Source organism: Homo sapiens, chromosome 5, assembly GCF_000001405.40.
Source record: "Homo sapiens chromosome 5, GRCh38.p14 Primary Assembly".
In the NCBI taxonomy this organism is placed as follows: Eukaryota; Metazoa; Chordata; class Mammalia; order Primates; family Hominidae; genus Homo; species Homo sapiens.
The window spans coordinates 83336943-83356766 of NC_000005.10; the positions used below are offsets into that span (position 1 = coordinate 83336943).

The 19824-nt window shown below is 36.5% G+C and overlaps 1 protein-coding gene across 8 annotated transcripts in view, besides 3 other annotated features; it reads left to right on the top strand.

Annotated features, from left to right (window-relative positions):
• XRCC4 (X-ray repair cross complementing 4) overlaps positions 1–19824 on the top strand; it is a 296927-nt gene that overhangs the window by 259396 nt on the left and 17707 nt on the right. For 3 of the 8 annotated variants that reach the window (NM_001318012.3, NM_022406.5, XM_011543626.2), the window contains exon 8: positions 16183–16818. The exons of 2 other annotated variants lie outside the window; for them this stretch is intronic. In NM_001318012.3, the coding sequence (NP_001304941.1) occupies positions 16183–16300 (118 nt within the window). In that variant the 3' untranslated portion in view covers positions 16301–16818. Of the gene's footprint in view, positions 1–16182; positions 16819–19824 lie in introns of those variants that run through there. 3 more of the 8 variants (NM_022550.4, NM_003401.5, XM_047417694.1) reach the window with 1 other exon arrangement.
• Positions 815–1015: a silencer, noted in NCBI's record as "peak5319 fragment used in MPRA reporter construct". NCBI's record gives its function as "represses an SCP1 promoter by STARR-seq MPRAs in K562 erythroleukemia cells {active_cell/tissue: K562}" and the evidence as "EXISTENCE:reporter gene assay evidence [ECO:0000049][PMID:32103011]".
• Positions 3689–3738: an enhancer, noted in NCBI's record as "active region_22742". NCBI's record gives its function as "activates an Ori minimal core promoter by ATAC-STARR-seq in GM12878 lymphoblastoid cells {active_cell/tissue: GM12878}" and the evidence as "EXISTENCE:reporter gene assay evidence [ECO:0000049][PMID:35858748]".
• Positions 17456–18398: an enhancer, noted in NCBI's record as "OCT4-NANOG-H3K27ac hESC enhancer chr5:82650217-82651159 (GRCh37/hg19 assembly coordinates)". NCBI's record gives its function as "activates a minimal SCP1, AML or CMV promoter by ChIP-STARR-seq in naive and primed H9 embryonic stem cells {active_cell/tissue: H9 hESC(naive and primed)}" and the evidence as "EXISTENCE:reporter gene assay evidence [ECO:0000049][PMID:30033119]".

The following is a 19824-nucleotide window of genomic DNA, read 5'->3' on the forward strand; positions in this document are numbered from 1 at the left end:
AGCCAACTACTGACCAGCTATAGTTGTCAGAAATTAAAATTTCATTTCTGAGCCAAAAATAAGGTTTAAATCTTTTTCTAAGTGATAGCATTTCTAAAAAGTTTATAATGTTGTCCTTTGATTTAGAATGGATTTTATTCTGTGTAAATTGTATATGAAACTTGCTATAGCTTTTTTCACACTCAACTCTAAGAGAAAAAAGGCAAATACCCTTGACAAGAGGATTTTTGGTAAATTTATTCAACAGAACCTCAGTTCTTTATTATAAGGAACTATTCTTAATTCTGAATGAAACAATTCTAAATCATTGTCCCTGTTCTCAAGTTACTTACAATATAAGTAACAAAGATGTCCACAATTAAGTCTTTGGTTGACACTCCTTCCATTGAGAGGTAGTTTCAATATGTGTGGGATTTTTTGACTCATTTATAAATAGTAGAATACAGGAGAAGTGATGCTGCGTGATTTCTGGAGGCTACATCAGAAAGGGCAACTTTGTGCTTAGAGCCCCAAGTTGTTATATGTCAGACTACCTGAGACTTCCCTGTAGCAAGGAAGCCACACCAGTGTACGCTCTCCAGTGGGCAGCCCTAGTCTTTGAGGCCTTCCAACCCATCCACCAGATATGAATGAAAGAGCTTTTGGATGGCTCTCAGCCTTGTTTCCACCCCAGCTTTCTAGTGTTCTCAGCTAAGACACTAACACCTTGGAGCAAAGACAAGCCATCCACGCTGTGTCCTGGACAAATTGCAGACTCACAGAAAATACAAGCATAACAAAATGGTCTTTATTTTATGCCACTAAGTTTGGAGTGGTTTATTACACAACTGTGATTACTGGAACAAAGACTTACTTGATTTAGTATATACTATGAGTGAATAGGAGATAAGGACCTTCTTTCCTGGAGGAGTCATGGGAAGCTTCACAGAAACAATGACATATCAACTTGGCAAGATGATGACCTTCTCTCCCGGAAGAGTCGTGGAAAGCTTCACAGAAACAATAACATAAGAACTTGGCTTTGAATGATGATACTACTAAGACATCTACTAAGTAGAGAAGGTAGAAGAGTCCTAAAACTGAGGAAGCTGTGTGGAATAGCCTGGAGGCTAAGAAAGAAGAGTGTGTTTGGTGAATGACAAGAAGTTTGGTGTGGAAAGAGCAATAGATGGTTAGATCCAGAATGGTAGTCAAGAAGCTAGAAGTTGTACAATAATTTTTTTGTTATGCCAAGGAAATTTCAGCTGTAGCCTTGTAGGACTAGAAAGTAATAATCAATTTGCCTTGTAGAAAGATAACTAATTATAAGCTAGGCTAAAAGGGAAAGAAGTGAAAGACAAGGAGAACAGATAATAGTTACATACATAGTTCGGATGACAGATGATTGAGGCTGAGATATGTAGCTTTCTTGTAATAGCAAAATAAGATCAGTTAGATAACAATGGTTGTTTGAATTGGTAAATTAATTATGTATTGAATTCATATGGTCAAGGCATAATAATCAAAGGCTACAGTCCACCCTGCATTTTGGCAAATTAAATCAATGCCTTTATAAAACATTAATTTTATTAAATGTATTAATATTGCTGAATGACATCTAAAAGCTTCCTCCACTATGAAGTTTGGAGAATTATTATTTTTTAAACTCATTTTTGTATTTCTATTAAGCCATTGATTATAGCAGGACATTTAAAGAAATGAGACATTGTATCAGTTAATGCACTAATGGAACCATGTGTTATAGGCACTCTGTTCCTCAAAATGAACATCAGTTCAGAGTAAAGTCCTGAAAAAATTAGTAATTTGTGTAATCATAAAGATTTTACAGTGGGAAAATGTATATAGTGTGTTCAGTTAATATAGTTAAGTGAACATAACACAGCTGTGGTCAACGGCTTTCTGTATGGATTTGATTGACTTTTAAATAGCATTTGAAATTACTTCACGTATTTTTAGTGTGATAAATAAAAGTTCAGTAGTGACATATAACTTTTTATTGAAATCATAATACCATACATATTAGAGACTTTTCCAGGGCAAAAAAATGGCTGGATAGGTCTTTCTCCAGTAATTCTGAGCGTAGACTGTGTCCCCACAGCTTGTGTTGCCTCATCTACACAGCAAATTGCTGCCAATTGTGGAATACGGTGATCTGTTTTAAAAGCCTTCTGCCTTTCTGAACATTTTGGTTTTACTTTACAGTTTGGTTATATTTAAAACATCAATTTAAAAGTTTAATATTTTTAATTCAAAATCAAAAGTGACAGAATTTTATAGATTATTTCCATCTGACTTCTTCTAGTGCTGACCCCTTTTTAATATCTTTAAGAAAGAACACCTTCCAGAATTTGAATAGTCTTGCTTTATAGACCCACTTTTCATTCACACATGAGTCTTCTTTAAAAATTCAAGCTGCAAAAGTAACACAAGAAGAGAAAACCAAACACCACATGTTGTCACTCATAAGTGGGAGTTGAACAATGGGAACACATGGACGCAGGGAGGGGAACATCACACACCAGGGCCTGTCAGGAGATGGGGGTGGGGTGGGGGAGGGATAGCATTAGGAGAAACACCTAATGTAAATGACTAGTTGATGGGTGCGGCAAACCACCATGGCACCTGTATACCTATGTAACAAACCCGCACATTCTGCACATGTAACCCAGAACTTAAAGTATAATAAAAAAAAAAAATTCAAGCTGTAGAATTATCCTTAGTCAACCATTTCATGTAAAGCCTAGAGAAATATTCAGCAGAGCATTAAACCAAATATGAAGGCCTTCTAAGCTTGTGGCCCTGTGCGATTGACAGCACAGGTCACATTCCCATGATGGTTCTTTAACAACCAGCCTTGCTCTTTAGAACCATTGTAGTGAAACACAGCATTCTGTTTTGTTATCCCCTAGACAAGGGCTACCGTAAGTTTGTATTTAAGGGAATTCAGAAGTTCAGCATTACTTCTGCCTTGGATTGATTGTTTGCTCACTTTAAATCCCATGTGTCTAGCTCAGTCTCTGACCCACAATAGACACTCAATAAATAGTGGATGGGGAAGTGATAGATGATAGTGGTCGCGAGCCTGTCTCAATGATTCTAGTTCAGTTATCTCTAGATAAGACCCAATGTCTGTTTCTTTGAGCTATAGATAATATTACACTAACCTTGCAGATCCCTCTTCCAACCAGCTTGGGGGATTTCTTTTAACTCTGGACCTTACATGTCTTGCTCTTGCTCAACTTCTTTCTCTATTCAGTTTTCCTGAAATCTATTTAATTCAGCATATTGGAATAATAATTGGGCCCTAATAACAAAGTTAAGACTAGAGTGGTAGAATAGTAAACCACCCACCCTCTTCCCCCAGAGATGTCTACGTCTTAATTCCTGGAACCTGAGAATATGTTAGACCACGTAGCAATGGGAAATTAAGGCTGCAGATGGAAATAAGGTTGAAAATCAGCAGACCTTAAAAACAGTGAAATTATCCTGGATTATCCAGTTAGGTCCAATATAATCACAAAGGTCCTTAAGTAGAAAAGAGAGGCAGAAGAAGAAAGTCAGAGGAAGAGATAAGACTAAGCAAGCAACATCAGAATGATGTGCAGTGAGAAGGAGTCCGCCTGCCATTGCTGGCTTTGAAGTTTTGAAGACAGGAAGGGAGTGGCCTCTACAAGCTAAAAAAAAAAAACAACAAAACAGAAACAGCTTCTCCACTAGTGCCTCCAGAGAAGTATACAGCTCTGCCAACTTCTTGACTTTTGATCACTGAGATCTGTCAGACTTCTGACCTCCAGAACTGTAAGATGATAAATTGGCATTGTTCTAAGGCATTATGTTATGGTAATTTGTTGCATCAGCCATAGGAAACAAAAACAGCTCATCCCACGCTATGGTGAAACTATCCCCCTTGGTCCCAGTTTAGAAATCACTAACCTCCATGGCTAGTATTATTGTCTACCCATGTGTTTGCCACTTCTCTTGATAGCTAAAAGTAGAGTTCTGTTTTCTTTTTTGTGTATTTCTGTTTTCCTTAACTGGACCACTAAGTTTATGGTTTCAGACTAATGGATGTTGTTTTCTCAGCGAAGAAGGTAATACAGCCTATTCCAGAAGACACTAGTTTCTTGGGATGTTAATGGTGAAGAGATTGTGAGAAAAGAGGCTTCTGCCACCAGATTCATTTGGAAAACCTAGGTTAAACAAGGTTCTTTTTTCTTAAAGCACTTACAAAAATATAATGTATGTATAAGGTTTAAAAAAAAAAAACAACAACAGTTTAAGAGAATATTCAGCAAAAGTATCCCTCTCAGCTAAAATTCCTCTCAGCAGTTACCATTTACCTGTGTATCCTCCCATAGCTATTGTAGACACATGAGCACATACACACACATACACACATATATACATGCACATATGGTATAATGTATATACACACATATTCTGGTTTTCTGTACACACTGTTCTACACTTTGCTTTTGTTTTTCCTAATTAACAGGTTTCCCAATTAACAGAAATTTTAGTGTATAATATGTATATGAAAGACTAAGAGAACTTAGTGGATGGAAATAAAGATTTTCTGAACATTTGGGACCATAGATTTTTTTAGAAAATATCTTACAGAACTACCTTTTGAGACACACTGCACACAACCAAGCTGCCTTCCTCAGAAGAAAAAAACATCCTCTGGAGTAGAAGTAAGAGTTAGTGATGACCCCCCCACTCCCATTAGAATGGCCTAGTGTAAAGGGTATGGATTTTGGATTTTAACCTAGGCTAAAATCCTGGCTCCATTACCGACTTGACTGCCTGCTCACCTATGCTTACTGGCTGTGTGGTTTCAGGTACATTGCTTAACTTTACTGAGCCTTCTTATTAATACACTCTCATATATTCAATTATTTGTTATTTGGTTAATACATGCAATCAGTGGAACTTTTATGTGCTAAATATTGTTCCAAGTCAAATAAAGCAGAGTCCCCCCAACTGGAGAGGCTTCTAGGCTAGTGAGGGAAGTTTCGTTTGTAGCACAGCAAGCGGCAGTCAGCTCACAGATCACCTGGCCTGTCTTAAAGGAATAACTTTCCACCAACGTGACAGTTTTCCACTTTCATAGGCATAGATCAACAGTAGCAAATGTCACCTATGTGACTTCAAAACTTGGAATGTATGCAGGACATTTCAGGTATTGATTTTTTAAGTATCTGTGTACTTTGGTATTGATTAATGAATTACCATAACAATTTTGTTTATCTGAATAAAGTACAGCTAGAGTAACAAAATCTTTAGTCATTATGAAATTATAACATTTCTGTGTAAGTGGCCAGCATCCTTGTAGATTCTGGATATGTTTACCTTAGTGGTTGACTTTAAAATTTGAATTCTCCAGAACAGATAATCTTATTTTTAAATCTGTAATATATGTATATTTTACAGGAAAATTTTAGATTTCTCATCCTTTCCCAATGTCTATAAAGCATGTCAATTCATTTTAACATTAAGTGTATTCACTCTTTATTATTCTGCTGATTTTATTTCCATCTTCTTCCTGCTCTTGATGAATTTAAACAGCAAAGTCATATTCATTAGAAAAAGATATCTTTAGGAATTTAACTGAAAATAACAAATGCAATTTCTTTTATTTGCCATTTTGTCTGCCAGAAAGTTTCAGCTTCTCTTTTTATTTTCTAGGCCAACGAAATGACGTGTAGGCCTAGTGAATTCCAGGCAATGTTCAGCACTGGTTTTACTGAATCTGGATGACTTCAGTCTGTTAATTTATTTAGGAGATGGTTTTGGTTTTTATAAGGTCAACTAGAAATTTGTAGGCTACTTTTCCCACTTATTCTAAGATCAAATTTTTTTTAATACTAACATTTAAAATTTGAAAATACAGTGGTAACTTTGGTGATGTCAAGTCTTTAAGCACATTATTTAAAACTTTTCCATTTAAGAAGTGTTTCCATAATTGAGTTTATTTCATAATGGGAATTCTGTTAAGGTCAATCTGATAGCTGCTTAGTTACTTAATATCAGCAAGTACCTGATATTTTGATTTGGCTGTTTTTTAAGGTCATTTCGATTAAGGTTTGATTTGATATGTCCTAAAAACAAACCGTAAAATATTTGACTTTTTTTTTTTTAACCAAATGATGTGTGCCCCAGCCAGTGCTTAGGATGGATTCTCAATTTGTACAGTGCCCTTACCTTACCCCTCATCTTCATCCCTTGCCCCATATCTGAGCTTTACCCTCGTCGTCATCGGTGATGAGGAGGATGAATGCCAGGGAAGTTTGTGATAAAACAAAGATGTATATACTTTTGTTATTTTAACATGAGTAAAACAGCTGCCTCAGAATGCCCTGCCATGGTGGATAGGCAGGAATTGACCATTTGCTGGATTTTTGCTGTGACTGCTGCAGTCCAAGAATTTGAGACTTCATTCTCCCCAAAAGAAAACATCGCCTGTTCTTCTTGTCTGTAATAAATCATGAACATAGCAGTATTCTTCCAGGCTATTCTTCTCAACTCCAGATAATTTATAGTGGGTGAGACTCATTAGCCTAAAGTGTATTTACAGGTTTGTCAGTCAGAGTTGAATAGAGAGCCAGTGTTTGGGTGGCAAGTGGAAACAGCACAAGCTGTGGGCACACAAAGTAAACTTGGCCCTTGGCTTCTGTACAACACTCCTCCCTGGTTTTACTCATTTTTAGAGTCGTTCCTTTTTTGACTCATTTCTTTCTCTAGCTGTCTGTCCCTACAATTTTAATATTCTCCACTATTTCTTGCTAAACCTTTTCTCTCTGATGGTCTCTTCTCTGGGTGATCATTTCAACTCACCCAGTTGCCTTATAGCAATGACTGCTGTCTTGGTTCATCTAGTCCAAACATCTCTCCTGAGTCCTATACCTTGGTATTTGTTAACCTACTCAAAATATATCTGCATTTGGATATCCTTCAGGCACTCAGACTTACCCGTTATGTCTGAAACTGAAGTCTTTATGCCTAATACTAAACCTTCTCCTCTTCCATGTCACCATCTTCACAATAGCCAAAGCTACAAAATCTAGAATTCTGAGAATATTGTCATGGAAGAGAAATAATAAGATCCAGAACCATTCTCTCATGAAATAGCAGATCAGATCCAAAAGTATTATGTATGTACATACACAGATACACTGACACAGATCTCACACACACACACACACACACACACACACACTTCGTTGTTCAAAGAGTAATATTGCATAGTTTTGCATGGTTTTGAAATTTAAATAAATATAATCATTTATTTAAATGTGTGTATTTTTTTTAAGAGATGGGGTCTCACTCTGTCACCCAGGCTGGAGTGCAATGGCATGATCATAGTTCACTGCATCCTCAAACTCCTAGGTTCAAGGGATCCTCCTGCTTCAGCCTCTTGAGTAGCTAGCACTACAGATGTGTACCACCACACCCAGCTAATTTATTTTTCACTTTTTTTTTTTTTTTTTTTTTTTGTAGAGACAGAGTCTCACTGTCTTGCCCAGTAATATGGTCTCATACTTCTCATACTACTAGGCTCAAATGATCCTCCCGCCTCAGCCTCCCAAAGTGTTAGGATACAAGTGTGAGCCTTGCTCTTTTGCTCAACATTATGCTTAAGATTCATGTATGTGTATAACTGTATAATCTAGTCCATTATATGAAAATTTAATAATTAATTCCCCTATTTTCCTTTGGAGAGACATTTGGGTAGTTCTTGCTTTTCACTGTTGCAAACAATGCATCTATGATTGTGTACCTATCTCCTGATACACATATGCAAATGTTTCTCAAGGGAATGTACCTATGAGTAGAATTCCTAGGTTATAGGTACATATACCTTCATATACCTTGACAGTTACTACCAAATTGTTTTATAAAATGGTTTCAAACATTTGCACTCCTACCAGCAAGAATTTATCTAGTTATTCCACATCCTCCAAAATATTTGATATTATTGTACATTTTAATTTTTGCTAATCTGGTGTAAAATATTTCACACTGGCTTTAATTTGCATTTCCTTGGTCGCTAATGAAGTTGAGCTTATTATCATATGTTTCTTTACCTCCATTGTTTCCTCTTTTTGGAAGTTCCTATAGTCTTTGGCATATGTTTTGGCTTTTAAAACATTGTTAATAGGAGTTCTTTGGATATTCTTTGTTACTAGCATATGTCGCAGTATCTCCTCACAGTTTGTGACTTGTCATTTCATTCTCTTTAAGGTATCTGTTGATAAACAGAAGTACTTACTTCAAATGCAATTCAGTGTATCAATCTTTATCTTAATGGTTTTCAATTTCTGCCTTGAATAAACTTTCTTATTTCAAGGTAATAAAGACATTCCCCTTTATTTTCTTCTAAAAGCTTTAAAGTTTTGCCTTTCTCACTTAAGTGTTTAATTCACCTGGAATCATGCTTGTTTGACTTCTGACACACAAAAAAATTGAATTGTATATGTGTTGTATAGGTAGAAATATAGTTAGGCCTCAAAAAATTAGTTATTTAAAATAACAGTTGAGTTTTTAAATTTAAAATCATTGTTTTTGTCAAAAGTCAAAACAAGCATGATTCTTCAAGTGTTATGGCGCCATCAATCACTATTCATTTTCCCAGATCTCTCTGTTTGCACAGGTTGACACCTTGACGTATTTCAGAAATATTACTCTCAGAACATGTTATAAAACATAAGTCACTCTAAACAATACTAATGCTTCTCGTTTGAATAGGAAGCGATTGCTATTCCGGCCGTAGTGATACCATTTTAAACTTGGCTGAGAAAATGTCTTTACAAAATGAGATAAATATCATTTTAAGGATGTTACTAATTTAACTCCTATAAAGTTAAAAGAGAAGTCAATAATTTATTCTAACATTTTTAGAGAAACTTTCCCTGGATTAGACTTTCTTTTTAATAAATCTAGCTTTTGATCTATAATGTTCATAGTTAATTAGATGATGTAGTGCAATTTTTATTCAAGTTGTAGTTTGTGTATGTGTGTGCCTGTGTGTGTGTGTTTTAACACAGTATGAAATTAAACTAATAGAACATAGGAATCTCTGCAACTATATTTTTGAGAATATACACCACGTTTTAGTGAGAGTATCATCTGGAGAAGTTTCATTATATTCTCTTTATTTGAAAAAAGACTTAGGCTTTAGCCTGTAACTTTAGTTTCTTATTCTGTCATTAATGTTTCCTCTTTAATTCACATTAATCATTTATTCCACAAATATTTCTTGAGAGCCTGTATTTTGCAAAGTAGTCTATGCTGAACTATTCAAACATAACAAATTCAGATTCAGGAACTGGAAGAGCTCTAAGATCACTTATAATAACCTCAACCTTCCACAAATGAAGAAACTGAGGTCCAGCAGTGACCTGACCAAAATTTCTATTGAGATTCAGAATATCTAGATTCAGAATATCCCCTATTGAACCACGTTGCCCACAGAAAACTATCCGAACATATACCTGAATGTTAAATATTGATATAATATTTATAGAGATGTCTAAAAGGATAAGTCACGCTTTGTGAACAAATTATGTCATTTAGGTGTTACCTTCAAGCTATTTATAACATTTTTAAGATAAAAAGACACACTTGAAAACATTAGGTAAAGTAAATGTTTAACTTAAAGCTTTCTGAGAGCAGGAGTAACACTTATATTTGTTCTATTTTCCTAACACAGTGAGCTGTTCATAGTGTATAATCAACAAGTACAGTATTGATTAAATAAACAAAACTGTATGTTGAAGTATAAGATACAGATATTAGGTACTGTAAATGACCAGAGGAAATAAAAATTACAAATATGAAATGAAATAGGAACATGGAAAAAAAGTAAGTCCTTGTGGAAGGTTTAGAATTTAAACAGAGCTGTAACTAATGGCTATAATTTCATTAAGAACACCCAAGTTTCTAATTATTTGTTTCTCTCACTTTCCATTAAAACTTTAGATACAGGTTCTCTGAGTTGTTTACTTCAAATTATACCTCTAAGCGTGATTTCTTGGAGAAGGCATGTTCATGAAAAAAATATGATAAATATGCTAAGATATATGTATAAGGATACTAATTGTCTAGTTTATAAGGGCATTTAAAAATTGAACCAACCCAAACCTCTATCAGTGAACTAATAGTACATCAAAATTAAAATCAATGATGAATGTAGATCTAAATTTTTCAACATGAAAATACATCTCTAATATATTATAGAGTAAAAATATCAAGCTGCAAAACTATAAATGTGTAGAATGATCACATTTTTGTAAAAAAAAGGCTGTGAATGTACAAGTAATGCAAAATAGGATAGTAGACATTTGTATTCGTCTTTTTTCACACTGCTATAAAGACATGTCTGAGACTGGGTAATTTATAAAGAAAAGAGGTTTAATTGGCTCACAGTTCTGTAGGGTGTGCAGGCTTATGCTGCTGGGGAGGCCTCAGGAAACTTACAATCATGGTGGAAGGCAAAAGGGAAGCAGACACATCTTCACATGACTGGCAGGAGAGAGAGAGCAAAAGGGGAAGTGCTACACACTTTTAAACAATGAGATCTCATGAGAACTCACACACTATCGTGAGAACAGCAAGGGGGATGTCTGCCCCCATGATCCAGTCACTTCCCACCAGGCCACTCCTCCAACATTGGGGATTACACTTCAACATGAGATTTGGGTGCAGACACAAAGCCAAACCATATCATGCCATCCCTGGCCCCTCCCACATCCCCTTCTCACATTTCAAAACATGATCATGCATTGCCAAGAGTCCCCCAAAATCTTAACTCATTCCAGTGTTAACTCAAAAGTTCAAGTCCAAGGTCTCATGTGAGACAAGGCAAGTCTCTTCGACCTACGAGCCTATAAAATCAAAACCAAGCTAGTTTCTTCCAAGATACAATGGGATTACAAGCATTGGGTAAGTTCTCCTATTCTAAGTGAGAGAAATTGGCTAAAACAAAGGGGCTACAGGCCCCATGCAAGTCCGAAAACCAGCATGGCAGTCATTAAATCTAAAAGCTCCCAGATAATCTCCTTTGACTCCATGTCTCACATCCAGGGCACAGTGATGCAAGGGGTAGACTCCTAAGTCCTTGGGAAACTCTGCCCCTGTGGCTCTCCAGGGTACAGCCCCCATGGCTGCTTTCATAGGCTGGTATTGAGTGCCTGCAGCTTTTCCAGATGCATGGCGCAAGCTGATGATGGATCTGCCATTCTGTGGTCTGGAGGATGGTGGCTGTCTTCTCACAGTTCCATTAGGCAGTGTCCCTTTGAGGGCTCCAACCACACATTTTCTTTCTATCCACACTGCCCTAGTAGAGGTTCTCCAAGAGGACTCTACCCCTGCAGCAGACTTCTGCCTGGACATCCATGCATTTCCATACATCCACTGAAACCTAGGTGGAGGTTCTCAAGCCTCAGCTCTTGCACTCTGCACATCTGCAGGCTTAACACCACATGGAAGACACCAAGGCTTGAGGCTTGCACCCTCTGAAGCAATGGCCCAAGCTGCATGTTGGCCCCTTTTAGCCACAGCTGGAGCGGGAGCAGCCACAATGCAGGGTGCCATGTCCCAAGACTGCACAGTGTAGCAGGGCCCTTGGGCTGGCCCACAAAACCATTCTGCCCTCCTAGGCCTCCTGGCCTGTGATGGGAGGGGCTGCCATGAAGATCTCTGAAATGCCTTGGAGGCACTGTCTTGATTATTAACATTTGGCTCCTGTTTACTTGCGCAAATTTCTGCAGCCTTGAATTCCTCCCCAGAAAATGGGTTTTTCTTTTCTACCATATGGCTAGGCTGCAAAATTTTCAAACTTTAATATTCTGCTTTCCTTTTAAATATAAGTTCCAATTTCAGGTCATTTCTTTGTTCATACAGATGAGAGTAGGCTTTTAGAAGCAGCAGGCCACACCTTGAATGCTTTGCTGCTTAGAAATTTCTTCCACCAGAAAAGCATAGCAAGAGTGACCTCTACTCCAGTTCCCAATAACTTCCTTATCTCCATCTGAGACCACCTCAGCCTGGACTTTATTGTCCATATCACCATCAGCATTTTGGTCACAACAATTTAACAAGTCTCTAGGAAGTTCCAAACTTTCCCTCATCTTCCTATCTTCTTCCAACCCCTCCAAACTGTTCCAACCTCTACTTATTACCCAGTTCCAAAGTTGCTTCTATATTTTCAGATACCTTTATAGCAATGCCCCACTTCTCTGGTTACACACATACTATCACAAGAATAGCAAGGGAGAAGTCCACCCCCGTGATCCAATCACCTCCCAACAGGCCCCTCCTCCAACATTGAGGATTACAGTTCAAAAAGAGATTCAGGTGGGGACACAAAGCCAAACCATATCAACATTTTTGTGTTCTTTTTTATGCTTTTCAGAATTTACAAAAAGTCTAACAATAAACATTTACTACCTGTAAAAATAATAAAACTTTTTTAAGAGTTGTGGAGAGAGTTCTAAATTTACTCTATTGACTTGCCATAGATATAAAAGCTCAATGATCTCCATTCGGGACAACTTTTACTGAGTACCTGTTATGACTAGGCACTATGAACAGGGGTCAAAATCTATTTCTTAAGCCCCTCATGACATCAGAAGGAAATGTAAATTATAAGTGGAGCACCAGGAATCTATTTATCCTTCAGTCTGGTCACTTCAGAGTGGTCCTTTGGTCATATGCTGATTTTTTTAAAACAAAATTGATAGATCTCTGTGTTCTGGTTCACAGTATCTAAACAATGGACACAATTACAGAGATCTTTCCATGTCTGACTTTTTAAATATGATTTCAGCTTTTATTTTAGATACAGGGGGTACATGTGCGGGTTTGTTACAGGGGTGTATTGCATGATACTGAGGTTTAGGATAGGGATCTCATCACCCAAGTATTGAGCATAGTACCCAATAGGTAGTTTTTCAACCCATGACCCCTCCTTCCCTTCCCCATGTAGTAATCCCCAGTGTCTATTGTTTCCATCTTTATGTCCATGTATACCCAATGTTTAGCTCTCACTTATAAGTGAGAACACAGGTATTTGGTGTTCTGTTCCTGCATTAATTTGCTCTGAATTATGGCCTCCAGCTGCATCCATGTTGCTGCAAAGGACATTATTTCATTCTTTTTGGTGGCTGTGTAGTATTCCATAGTGTATATGTAATATATTTTCTTTACCCAGTCCACCAATTATGGCCACCTAGGTTGATTCCATGTCTTTGCTGTTGTGAATAGTGCTGCAATGAACATGCCAGTGCATGTGTCTTTTTGGCAGAACACTTTGGGTTTTTTGGGAGGTATATGCCCAGTAACGGGATTGCTGGATTGGATGATAGTTATGTTTTAAGTCCTTTGACAAATCTCCAAACTACTTTCCACTGTGGCTGAAGTCATTTACATTCCCACCAACAATGTATAAGTGTCCCCTTTTCTCTGCAGCCTCTCCAGCATATATTATTATTTGACTTTTTAATAACAGGCATTCTGATTGGTGTTAGATGGTATCTCATTGTGGCTTTGATTTGCATTTCTCTGATGACTAGTGATGTGTAGCATTTTTTTTTCATATGTTTGTTGGTTGCTTGTGTGTCTTCTCTTGAGAAGTGTCTGTTCATGTCCTTTGCCCATTTATTAATGGGGTGATTTGCTTTTTGCTTGTTGATTTAAGTTCCATATAGATTCTGGATATTAGACTTTTGACAGATGCATATTTTGAGGATATTTTCTCCTATTCTGTAAGCTGACTCTTTACTTTGTTGATAGTTTCTTTTGCTGTGTAGAAACTCTTCAGTTTAATTAGGTCCCTCTTGTCAATTTTTGTTTTTGTTGCAGTTGCTTTTGGGGACTTGGCCAAAAATTCTTTGCCAAGGACAGTGTTGAGAAGGGTATTTCCTAGGTTTTCTTCTAAGTTTTTTATAGTTTGAAATCTTACATTTAAATTTTTAAGCCATCTTGAGTTAATGTTTGTATATGTTGAAAGGTAGGGCAATATGGTTTGGATTGGTGTCCCCACCCAAATCTCATGTCTAATTGTAATCCTCAATCTTGAAGAAGGGGCCTGGTGGGAGGTTATTGGATCCTGGAGACAGATTTCCCCCTTGCCATTCTCATGATAGTGAGTGAGTTCTCATGAGATCTGGTTTAAAAATGTGTGGCATCTTACCCCCCGCTTCCTCCTTCTCCGGCCATGTAAGACGGGCCTGCTTCCCTTTCACCTTCTACCGTGAGGCTTCTCAGCCATGTTTCCTGTACAGCCTGTGGAACTGTGAGCCAATTAAACCTCTTTTCTTTATAAATTACCCAGTCTCAGGTAGTTCTTTATAGCAATACAAGAATGGACTAATACATAGGGGCACAGTTTCAATCTTCTGCAAATGGCTAGCCAGTTTTCCATGCACCATTTATTGTATTCACCTTGCTTGTTTTTCCATTTCTTACTTTTAATTGAGATAGTTCAGTTATCTCTTTTGTCTAGGAGGAGCACAAGCAACTCTAAGACATTTTGGCCAGAGAAAAATGTTTAACGTGTTTTGAGTTGACAATGAAAATGTATATATATAATAATTATACTTTTATCCCATACTATATCATTTTCTCCTCCTTTGGAATATATTTTTAGATATTTAATTCCATGTTACAATAATTATGCCTGTATTTATTGTTAATTTTAACATCGCAAATCCCAGAGGGTAGTACTTGTCATCTTGAATGCATTAATGCCTAGCACCTTGGCACTCCTGTGATGATGTTGTCTGAAATTGGCTTGCTCAGAATAAGACAGAACATGTCCCAGGTCTAGTGGCAGCCAACTGTAGTTAATTGTCTCTAATCAAGATGCCAAGGAGAACTCATTTCTAATAATCTGTGCAACTAGGTAAGGGTGCAGGCTTTTAAAAATACTCATCACCTAAACACACTTGATATTTGGGGGTTTTCATTGGTTATTCTTCTCTGCTGTTAACGAAACTCTTACATAGTTTATGGGGTATTAGCAGGTAATAATAATAGTTTCCAAATTCTTTGTGGGAATTTACAAGCATTTACATTTACATCAACTCATTTCATCTTTAGACCACCTCTAGACAAATACTAATATCTCAGTTTTACAGTGGACAGAATAGAAGCCCACTTAGTTTAAATGACTTGCCTAAAGTTACATAGCTAACATGAAATAGACCTGGGTTCAAACTTGTGTTTCCTGACTTCAAGTCCCATGCTTTCTCAGCTATACCAAGGTGTTGTGACTCTACCCCCGCCTTTGAACTTGGAAATAGAGGGGTATTACCAAGTATTACTGGGTTAGCTCAACCTAATCATAATTGCCCCAGAGGCCACCTCTAATTGATAATATTAAGCATACTTTATTAAGGTTCCATAGAGAACCACTGACAAGGTTTCTACAAGGATATTAACACACACTCCACAGCTTTACTTCTGATTGAGCTCTGTTATTCTCTGGCACAGTCTTCCTAAGACCAATTAATAGTGATCATGGCAGTCAGCCTGTTATCTTAGGATTCAAAGAAAATATCTACATAAATATAGCAGTCAATCCATTGAAGTAGTGACTACAATACTGAACCTGAATAAAATTTAGTTTACTAAATGAAGATATGCAGATTCAATAAATGATTATGGACCAACATTTCATCAGCAACTGCTATAAATGTGAAAAATCATTATTTTTCATATATACACATGATCATCAGACCCACTAAAGGTAATTCATGTGACCAAAACTTTCTGCTGCTAAGAGATTAAAATGCATGTTAATCAGTAGAATTTAAGAAAGCCAGAGTAAAATGTAAATTGTGATGAAATCATTAAAGGAGTAACTTGAAAAACCTTCTATATCCTGGCATAAAAGTGATTATAGCACAGAGGACAGAATATTTTATTTCTTGACCTTGATTATGAGTATTGTTATAGGTTCTTGAATTTTCCTTAGGTCAGAATAGAGACATTAATTCTAAAGCAGTTAGAGAAATTAGTCTCTTTATCTCTTTCCTTATAGTTAATAGCATAGAGAAATAAATCTCTAAACCAATTTGAAACAGGATTTAACTGTCATTTCACTTATGTGTCTCTTCATTTTCTTTTACTCTATAACAGAAGTTTTTAAAAATAAAACTATTTTGATTTTCTTTTCAGTTCTAGGCCTGATTCTTCACTACCTGAGACGTCTAAAAAGGAGCACATCTCAGCTGAAAACATGTCTTTAGAAACTCTGAGAAACAGCAGCCCAGAAGACCTCTTTGATGAGATTTAACAGTCTCAAAAAATACTTTGATGTTCACTAGACTATGTTTTCTATTCATTTCTTTAAAATGAAAAAGGAGAATTTCAAGTCAGCAGCCGCTATTACCGTATCTTACAATTTAATTACATACACAGTGAATTGAAACCATTGTGCAAAATGGATTACACATGTATACAAAGATACGATTTGATGATGACACTGGCACATTATTCTAAACTATTCATTCAGCATGCCTATAATTACATAAATTGTATGAGACTTTTTGTTGCAAAGGACACATTTATCATATTCATTCACACATATTATATGTGATAGCTGTCCAACATCCTGTCTGGGAAGATTTTGAAAACAGGACAAAGAAAACATCATTTTAAAATGTCTTCAGCTTTTTTTGAATAGACGTATTCAAACATATTCTGAACATTGATGTTTGAACATTTTAATTTGTGTGATGATGTAGAAAATATAATTTTAGTTTGTACATAAACATTGTGAAAATCTGATAATAAAATTTTTGATACATTGAAGATTTTGTGTTTTTAATAAAATGTGTTATTTAGGTTAACTTTTATTTTAGTAAGTAACAGGTTTTTAGAAACTGCTTATTAATGTAAATGTAACCCCCTGTGTGGCAAAAGAAAAGCATATTTTTCAGGGATTATTGATAAAAGATTTATCTTACACATACAGGGGCCCTTCTTGAAGACAAGGACCTTGTCATAGCTATTTATCTCCAGTAACATCTGGCACTATTATCTTTGTAGTCACTGTTTCTGCTTCTTAACCTTTCATTCTTTCTTCACTTCTTACCTGTTTAATATCCATTCCTTCCGTGCTACTCAAAGTTAACAACATCAGAGTTAACCATGACCACCATGTTGCTAAATCCAGTGGTTGACCCATTCTTAGTCCTCACATTACTAAGCCTCTCAGCACATTTGATATAGTTGATTGATTCTCCTCAGTAAACATTTTCACTTGACTTTTGCAATAGCATATGCTCTTTGTATTCCTCCTTTCCAGTCACTAATTGTTTAGACCTTTTGGCTGATGCCTTCTCCTTTGCCCAATAGTTAAAAGTTTGAGTGTGCTGGGTTTAATTATCAGCCGTCTTCTCTTCATTACCCACATTGTCACCCTAGGTTATTCTAGGTCGTTTGTGATTTTAAATGCCATCTATATGTTAATATCTCCAAAATTACGTAGTTTTCTTTGTAGCCAAATTTTATATGTACATACATATACATGGATATACATGGGTGTATGTATAATTTATCATTAACTTGTCACAAAAGGAGTTTCTTAAGATTTCTTAAAAATTGTTTGTATTAAATCTTGATACATCTTGGCATCTTTTATAAAATACAGACGAGTATAGCTATCTACTTATACCTTTCTTTAGATGTTTTAGCATATCCAAAGCAGAAATTTGATTATCCTTACCATCATTTCTTCTCCAGTCTTACCCATTTGGGAAATTTCACTACCACAATGCAGTTGCTTCAAGCTAAAAACCCAGGAATCTTCCTTGGTGTCTTTGCTTTCTTCTCCTTGCACATCCTGTTATTTTTACTTCCAAAATACAAATTGACTCTCCCTTTGTGTCTCTCTACTGCAGCTGCTGCAGCTACACTCCTTCCTCACTGGTCTCCCTGCTTAATTTTCTATTCTCCTACAATGAGGCCAAACTGAATTTTAAAATCTTAGATAAGATTATTTTCCTACCTGGATTAAAACCTACCAATAATGAACCATTGCCCTTTGAAAAAAGTCTGCACCTGTACCTTGGCCTACAAAGTTTGATATGATGGCACCCCTGCTTACCTCCCCAACCTGATTTCCCACCCCTCTCTCTTTACTCCCCTTGCCTCTCAAGTAGGCCAGAGCTCAGAACCATTGTATTGCTAATCTCTCTGCCTGGAATGCTCAGCTTCACATGGTTGGTTTCTTTATCTTTCAGATTTAGAACCAAATGTCATCTCCTCAGGGGTGCATTCCCTGAAATACCCTTTTTAGGGTTGTCCACCCTCCCAGTCACTCTCTGTCCCATTAAAAGGTTTTTTCCATTATGCATATCACTCTCTCGAATTACTTTTTCATGTCTCCTCTCCCGGTGGAACATAAGCCCTATCACAGCAGAAACATGGCCATCTGCTTTACCTCTCTATCCCCAGTACTAAGAGCAAGGTTCATAGAAGCTTAATTAGTGTTTGTTGAATGAAAGAATGCATGTTTATCACATAGTAGGCACTCGAAAGTTTCTTTACTTACTAAACCATTTTGAAAGGATTGAAAGATTGAAATTTAGCTGGATGACTTGATACAAAGAAATAATTATTCAGAAAGCTCAAGTACTCTTTGTGAATAATGGTAAATAATAGGTATATATATGCATGCACATAGGTGTTTTGTTTTGTTTTGTTTGAGACAGAGCCTCACACCATCACCCAGGCTGGAGTACAGTGGTGTGATCACAGCTCACTGCAACCTCTGCCTCCCTGGTTCAAGAGATTCTTGTGCCTCAGACACCCAGGTAGTTTTTACAGGCATGTGCCACCACACCCGGCTAATTTTTTGTATTTTTAGTAGAGATGGGGTTTGGCCATGTTGGCCAGGCTGGTCTCAACCTCCTAACCTCAAGTGATCCGCCCACCTCGGCCTCCCAAAGTGCTAGGATTACAGGCATGAGCCACTGCAGCCTGCCAGGTTTGACAGTAGAGAGAGAATAAGAAAAAAATTACACACATACACTATTAATCAGGAAAAGGATTTGACTAAGTCAATGGGATAGCAAAATATTTTAAATAGAAATTTTCCTACATTTTAATTTATTTGATGGCTTATATGCAAAAGGAAAAAAACTTTTAAATATATGAAATTTAAATATATAATTATAAACTATCAAATTCTACTCAGTCACTTTGGAACTTCACTGTAATACTGAACTTAGCACTATCCTAGATTTACCCTGTATCTTTCCAAAGTGATTTTGTATGTGAAATACCAAAATCTCAAAATAATATTATCTCACCTGAATAGACCACAAATGACTAACCAAAATTAGTATACAACTGTATATGTGTGTATATGTGTCTATCTATCTATCTATATATATAGATATAGTGAAAGAGAAGAAATTTTCTTATCTTTTGGCTATTAACTCCCTGGTGATAAGAGATGTAGGGAAGGTATTTCCCAAGTAATAATAACAAGTCTATAAAGGTCATAATATTTAGAAAATGTTTGTTTATATTTTTCTAAGGCAGCTGATCTTTTCAATCATTGCTGTGTGTCAGATTGATTGAGTTGGTTAGAACAGAACATAATAAGCCTATAATCTTGGGTTCCTATTTATATCTCATGTGGAGAAATTGAAGACGTGGTTTTTTATATTTCTTACCTTATATAGACAGAGATCTACAGATCTGGTGTAAACATGTCCAGATCCTATTATTCCATACCACGTTTTCTCCTCACATTTTTTTAATTGTCTATACTCTAAACATTGTTGCAGAATGCTGAAATGGAAGGCA